At 41.3% G+C, this 7,332-nt stretch overlaps 2 annotated features.

Annotated features, from left to right (window-relative positions):
- Positions 5,843–7,042: an enhancer, noted in NCBI's record as "BRD4-independent group 4 enhancer chr9:13791089-13792288 (GRCh37/hg19 assembly coordinates)". NCBI's record gives its function as "activates an origin of replication core promoter dependent on BRD2, P300/CBP, MED14 and CDK7 cofactors, and independent of BRD4, by STARR-seq in HCT116 cells {active_cell/tissue: HCT116}" and the evidence as "EXISTENCE:reporter gene assay evidence [ECO:0000049][PMID:35650434]".
- Positions 6,053–6,842: an enhancer, noted in NCBI's record as "H3K27ac-H3K4me1 hESC enhancer chr9:13791289-13792078 (GRCh37/hg19 assembly coordinates)". NCBI's record gives its function as "activates a minimal SCP1, AML or CMV promoter by ChIP-STARR-seq in naive and primed H9 embryonic stem cells {active_cell/tissue: H9 hESC(naive and primed)}" and the evidence as "EXISTENCE:reporter gene assay evidence [ECO:0000049][PMID:30033119]".

The following is a 7,332-nucleotide window of genomic DNA, read 5'->3' as shown; positions in this document are numbered from 1 at the left end:
AGTTCTACATCCTTGAGGAATCGCCACACTGTCTTCCAAAATGGTTGAACTAATTCACACTCCCACCAACAGTGTAAAAGCATTCCTATTTCTCCACATCCTCTCCAGCATCTGTTATTTCCTGACTTTTTAATGATCACCATTCTAACTGGCGTGAGATAGTATCTCATTGTGGTTTGGATTTGCATTTCTCTAATGACAAGTGATGATAAGCATGTTTTCTTAAGTTTGTTGGCTGCATAAATGTCTTTTGAGAAATGTCTGTTCATATACTTTGCTCATTTTCTGACGGGATTGTTTTTCTTTTTTCTGGTAAATTTGTTTAAGTTCTTTGTAGATTCTGGATATTAGCCCTTTGTCAGATGGATAGATTGTGAAAATTTTCTGCCATTTTGTAGGTTGCCTGTTCCCTCTGATGGTAGTTCCTTTTGCTGTGCAGAAGCTCTTTAGTTTAATTAGATCCCATTTGTCAATTTTCGCTCTTGTTGCCATTGCTTTTGGTGTTTTAGTCATGAAGTCCTTGCCCATGCCTATGTCCTGAATGGTATTGCCTAGGTTTTCCTCTAGGGTTTTTATGGTTTTAGGTCTAACATTTAAGTCTTTAATCCACCTTGAGTTGATTTTTGTATAAGGTATAAGGAAGGGATCCAGTTTTAGCTTTCTACATATGGCTAGCCAGTTTTCCCAGCACCATTTATTAAGTAGGGAATCCTTTTCCCATTGCTTGTTTTTGTCAGGTTTGTCCAAGATCAGATGGTTGTAGATGTGTGGGGTTATTTCTGAGGGCTCTGTTCTGTTCCATTGGTCTGTATCTCTGTTTTGGTACCAGTACCATGCCGTTTTGGTTACTGTAGCCTTGTAGTATGGTTTGAAGTCAGGTAGCATGATGCCTCCAGCTTTGTTCTTTTTGCTTAGGATCAACTTGGCAATGTGGCCTCTTTTTTGGTTCCATATGAACTTTAAAGTAGTTTTTTCCAATTCTGTGAAGAAAGTCATTGGTAGCTTGATGGGGATGGCATTGAATCTATAAATTACCTTGGGCACTATGGCCATTTTCACGATATTGATTCTTCCTATCCGTGAGCATGGAATGTTCTTCCATTTGTTTGTATACGCTTTTATTTCATTGAGCGGTGGTTTGTAGTTCTCCTTGAAGAGGTCCTTCACATTCTTTGTAAGTTGGCTTCTTAGGTATTTTCTTCTCTTTGTAGCAGTTGTGAATGGGAGTTCACTCATGATTTGGCTGTTTGTCTGTTATTGGTGTATAGGAATGCTTGTGGTTTTTGCACATTGATTTTGTATCCTGAGACTTTGCTGAAGTTGCTTATCAGCTTAAGGAGATTTTGGGCTGAGACGACGGGGTTTTCTAAATATACAATCATGTCATCTGCAAACAGAGACAATTTGACTTCCTCTTTTCCTAACTGAATACCCTTTATTTCCCTCTCCTGCCTGATTGCCCTGGTCAAAACTTCCAATACTATGTTGAATAGGAGTGGTGAGAGAGGGCATCCCTGTCTTGTGCCAGTTTTCAAAGGGAATGCTTCCAGCTTTTGCCCATTCAGTATGATATTGGCTGTGGGTTTGTCATAAATAGCTCTTATTATTTTGAGATACGTTCCATCAATACCCAGTTTATTGAGACTTTTTAGCATGAAGGAGAGTTGAATTTTATCAAAGGCGTTTTCTGCATCTATTGAGATAATCATGTGGTTTTTGTCATTGGTTCTGTTTATGTGATGGATTATGTTTATTGATTTGCGTATGTTGAACCAGCCTTGCATCCCAGGGATGAAACCGAGTTGATCATGGTGGATAAGCTTTTTGATGTGCTGCTGGATTTGGTATGCCAATATTTTATTGAGGATTTTCACATTGATTTTCATCAGGGGTATTGGCCTAACAATTTGTTGTTTTGTCTCTGCCAGGTTTTTGTATCAGGATGATGCTGACCTCATGAATGAGTTAGGGAGGATTCCCTCTTTTTCTATTGATTGGAATAGTTTCAGAAGGAATGGTACCAGCTCCTTTTTGTACCTCTGGTAGAATTCAGCTGTGAATCGGTCTGGTCCTTTTTTTGGCTGGTAGGATATTAATTACTGCCACAACTTCAGAACTTGTTATTGTTCTATTCAGAGATTCGACTTCTTCTTAGTTTAGTCTTGGGAGGGTGTATGTGTCCAGGAATTTATCGATTTCTTCTAGATTTTCTAGTTTATTTGCATAGAGGTATTTATAGTATTCCCTGATGGTAGTTTGTATTTTTCTGTGGGATCAGTGGTGATATCCCCTTTATCATTTTTTATTGCATCTACTTCATTCTTCTCTCTTTTCTTCTTTGTTAGTCTGGCTAGCAGTGTAGCAGTGTATCTATTTTCTCGATCTTTTCAAAAAACCAGCTCCTGGATTCATTGATTTTTTGAAGGGCTTTTTGTGTCTCTATCTCCTTCAGTTCTGCTCTGATCTTAGTTATTTCTTGTCTTCTGCTAGCTTTTGAATTTGTTTACTTTTGCTTCTCTAGATCTTTTAATTGTGATGTTAGGGTGTCGATTTTAGATCTTTCCTGCTTTTTCTTGTGGGCATTTAGTGCTATAAATTTCCCTCTGCACACTGCTTTAAATGTGTCCCAGAGATTCTGGTACATTTTGTCTTTGTGTTCATTGATTTCAAAGAACTTCTTTTTTTTTTTTAATTATACTTTAAGTTTTAGGCTACATGTGCACAATGTGCAGGTTAGTTACATATGTATACGTGTGCCATGTTGGTGTGCTGCACCCATCAACTCGTCATTTAACATTAGGTATATCTCCTAATGCTATCCCTCCCCACTCCCCCCACCCCACAACAGTCCCCAGTGTGTGATGTTCTTCTTCCTGTGTCCATGTGTTCTCTTTGTTCAATTCCTACCTATGAGTGAGAACATGCGGTGTTTGGTTTTTTGTCCTTGCAATAGTTTGCTGAGAATGATGGTTTCTAGCCTCATCCATGTCCCTACAAAGGACATGAACTCATCATTTTTTATGGCTGCATAGTATTCCATGATGTATATGTGCCACATTTTCTTAATCCAGTCTATCACTGTTGGACATTTGGATTGGTTCCAAGTCTTTGCTATTGTGAATAGTGCCAAAATAGACATACGTGTGCATGTGTCTTTATAGCAGCATGATTTGTAATCCTTTGGGTATATACCCAGTAATGGGATGGCTGGGTCAAATGGTAGTTCTAGATCCCTGAGGAATCGCCACACTGACTTCCACAATGGTTGAACTACTTTACAGTCCCACCAACAGTATAAAAGTGTTCCTATTTCTCCACATCCTCTCTAGCACCTGTTGTTTCCTGACATTCTAATGATCACCATTCTAACTGGTGTGAGGTGGTATCTCATTGTGGTTTTGATTTGCATTTCTCTGATGGCCAGTGATGATAAGCATTTTTTTCATGTGTCTGTTGGCTGATAAATGTCTTCTTTTGAGAAGTGTCTGTTCATATCCTTCGCCCACTTTTTGATGGGGCTGTTTATTTTTTTCTTGTAGATTTGAGTTCAAAGAACATCTTTATTCCTGTCTTCATTTTGTTATTTACCCCAGTAGTCATTCAGGAGCAGGTTGTTCAGTTTCCATGTAGTTGTGCGGTTTTGAGTGAGTTTCTTAATCCTGAGTTCTAATTTGATTGTACTGTGGTCTGAGAGACAGTTTGTTGTGATTTCTGTTCTTTTACATTTGCTGAGAAGTGTTTTACTTCCAATTATGTGGTTGATTTTAGAATAAGTGTGATGTGGTGCTGAGAAGAATGTATATTCTGTTGATTTGGGGTGGAGAGTTCTGTAGATGTCTATTTTTTCTGCTTGGTCCAGAGCTGAGTTCAAATCCTGGATATCCTTGTTAATTTTCTGTCTTGTTGATCTAATATATTGAGTGGGGTGTTAAAGTCTCCCACTATTATTGTATGGGAGTCTAAGTCTCTTTGTAGGTCTCTAAGAACTTGCTTTATGAATCTGGGTGCTCCTATATTCATGCATATATATTTAGGATAGTTAGCTCTTCTTGTTGTATTGATCCATTTACCATTATGTAATGCCCTTCTTTTCTCTTTCGACCTTTGTTGGTTTAAAGTCTGTTTTATCAGAGACTAGGATTGCAACCCCTGCTTTTTTTTTTTTTTTTTTGCTTTCCATTTGCTTGGTAAATCTTCCTCCATCCCTTTATTTTGAGCCTATGTGTGTCTTTGCACATGAGATGGGTCTCCTGAATACAGCACACTAATGGGTCTTGAGTTGATAAAGATCCAGTTTGCCAGTCTAAGTCTTTTAATTGGGGCATTTAGCCCGTTTACATTTAAGGTTAATATTGTTATGTGTGAATTTGATTCTGTCATTATGATGCTAGGTGGTTATTTTGGCCATTAGTTGATGCAGTTTCTTCATAGTGTCAATGGTCTTTACAATTTGGCATGTTTTTGCAGTGACTGGTACCAGTTGTTCCTTTCCATGTTTAGTGCTTCCTTCAGGAACTCTTCTAAGGCAAGCCTAGTGGTGATAAAAATCTCTCAGCATTTGCTTGTCTGTAAAGGATTTTATTTCTCCTTCACTTATGAAAGTTAGTTGGGCTGGATATGAAATTCTGGGTTGAAAATTCTTTTCTTTTAGAATGTTGAATATTGGCCCCCATTCTCTTCTTGCTTGTCGGGTTTCTGTTGAGAGATCCGCTGTTAGCCTGATGGGCTTCTCTTGGTGGGTAACCTGAACTTTCTCTCTGGCTGCCCTCGACATTTTTTCCTTCAATTCATCCTTGGTGAATCTGACGATTATGTGTCTTGGGGTGGCTCTTTTTGAGGAATATCTTTGTGGTGTTCTCTGTATTTCCTGAATTTGAATGTTGGTCTACCTTGCTAGGTTGTGGAAGTTCTCCCGGATAAAATCCTGAAGAGTGTTTTCCTACTTGGTTCCATTCTCCCTGTCACTTTCAGGTATACCAATCAAATGTAGATTTGGTCTTTTCACATAGTCCCATATTTCTTGGAGGCTTTGTTCATTTCTTTTCACTCTTTTTTCTCTAATCTTGTCTTCTCGCTTTATTTCATTAAGTTGATCTTCAATCACTGATGTCCTTTCTTTCGCTTGATCAATCGACTATTGAAACTTGAGTATGCTTCATGAAGTTCTCATGCTGCATGTTTCAGCTCCATCAGGTCATTTATGTTCTTCTCTACACTGGATATTCTAGTTAGCAATTCATCTAACCCTTTTTCAAGGTTCTTAGCTTCCTTGCACTGAGTTAGAACATTCTCCTTTAGCTCAGAGGAGTTTGTTATTACCCACCTTCTGAAGCCTACTTCAGTCAATTCACCAAACTCATTCTCTGTCCAGTTTTGTTCCCTTGCTGGCGAGGGGTTGTGATCCTTTGGAGGAGAACAGGCATTCTGGTTTTGGGAATTTTCAGCTGGTTTTTCCCCATCTTTGTGGTTTTGTATACCTTCGTTCTTTGATGTTGGTGACCTATGGATGGGGTTTTGGTGTCTATGTCCTTTTTGTTGATGTTGATGCTATTCCTTTCTGTTTGTTAGTTTTCCTTCTAACAGGCCCCTCAGCTGCAGGTCTGTTGGAGTTTGCTGGAGGTACACTCCAGACACTGTTTGCCTGGGTATTACCAGCAGAAGCTGCAGAACAGCAACTATTGCTGCCCGATCCTTTCTCTGGAAGCTTGGTCCCAGAGGGGCACATGCCAGATGCCAGCTAGAGCTCTCCTGTATGAGGTGCCTGTCGGTCCCTACTGGGAGGTGTCCCCCAGTTAGGCTACACGGGGGTCAGGGACCCACTTGAGGAGGCAGTCTGTCCTTTATCAGTGCTTGAATGCCATGATGGGAGAACCACTGCTCTCTTCAAAGCTGTCAGGCAGGGATGTTTAAGTCTGCTGAAGCTGTGCCCACAGCTGCCCCTTCCCCCAGGTGCTCTGTCCCAGGGAGATGAGGGTTTTATATATAAGTCCCTGACTGGGGCTGCCTTTTGTTCAGAGATGCCCTGCCCACAGAGGTGAAATCTAGAGTGGCAGTCAGCCTTGCTGAGCTGTGGTGGGCTCCTCCCAGTTTGAACTTTGCAGTTGCTTTGTTTACACTGTGAGCATAAAACCGCCTACTCAAGCCTCAGTAATGGCCGACACCCCTCCCCCTACCAAGCTCAAGCATCCCAGGTTGATCTCAGACTGCTGCGCTGGCAGCAAGGATTTCAAGCCAATGGATGTGGGACCCACTGAGCCAGGCACCCGAGGGAATCTCCTTGTCTGCTGGTTGTGAAGACTATGGGAAAAGTGCAGTATCTGGGCAGGAGTGTATCATTTCTCTTGGTACAGACTGTCAAGGCTTCCCTTGGCTAGGAAAGGGAAATCCCCCGACCCCTTGCACTTCCTGGGTGAGGCAACGCCCCACCCTGCTTCAGCTCACCCTCCATGGTCTCTGCCCACTGTCCAACCAGTCCCAGTGAGATGAACCACGTACCTCAGTTGGAAGTGCAGAAATCACCTGCCTTCTAGGTGGATCTCGCTGGGAGCTGCAGACTGGAGCTGTTCCTATTCAGCCATCTTGCTGGACCCTACGAGTCATGGTCTTACATGGATGGCAGGAGGCAGAGAGCTTCTGTAGGGAAACTCCCATTTTTAAAACCATCAGATCACGTGAGACTTATTCACTCTCCTGAGAACACCATGGGAAAGACCCATCCTCATGATTCAGTTACCTCCCACTGGATTCCTCCCATGACATGTGGGAAATGTGGGAGTTACAATTCAAAATGAGATTTGGGTGGGGACACAAATCAAACCATAACAATGTCTTTTTTTTTTTAATTGTGGTATTAACAATAGACAAGAAGTGGAAACAACTTAAATGTCCACTGTTAGATAAATGGATAAGGAAAATATGTGAGGTATGTGTGTGTGTGTGTATAATATTATACAACCTTTTTTTTTCTTTTTGAGACAGGGTCTTACTCTGTTGCCTAGCCTGGAGTGTACAGTGGCACAGTGGTGCAATCTTGGCTCACTGCAACCTCTGCCTCTGGGTTCAAGCAATCCTTCTGTCTCAGCCTCTCAAGTACCTGTGACTATAGGCATGTGGCAACAAGCCTGGCTAATTTTTGTATTTTTAGTAGAGACAGGGTTTCACCATGTTGCCCAGGCTGGTCTCAAACTTCTGGCCTCAAGCGATCCACGTGTCTTGGCCTCTGTAAGTTCTGGGATTACAGGAGTGAGCCACTGTGCTCTGCCTCATTCAGCCTTTGAAAAGAAGAAAGTTCTGCGATATTTGACAACATCATGAATCTTGAGGGTATTATGC

Source organism: Homo sapiens, chromosome 9 (assembly GCF_000001405.40).
Source record: "Homo sapiens chromosome 9, GRCh38.p14 Primary Assembly".
In the NCBI taxonomy this organism is placed as follows: domain Eukaryota; kingdom Metazoa; phylum Chordata; class Mammalia; order Primates; family Hominidae; genus Homo; species Homo sapiens.
This window is presented reverse-complemented; position numbering and strand designations above follow the sequence as displayed.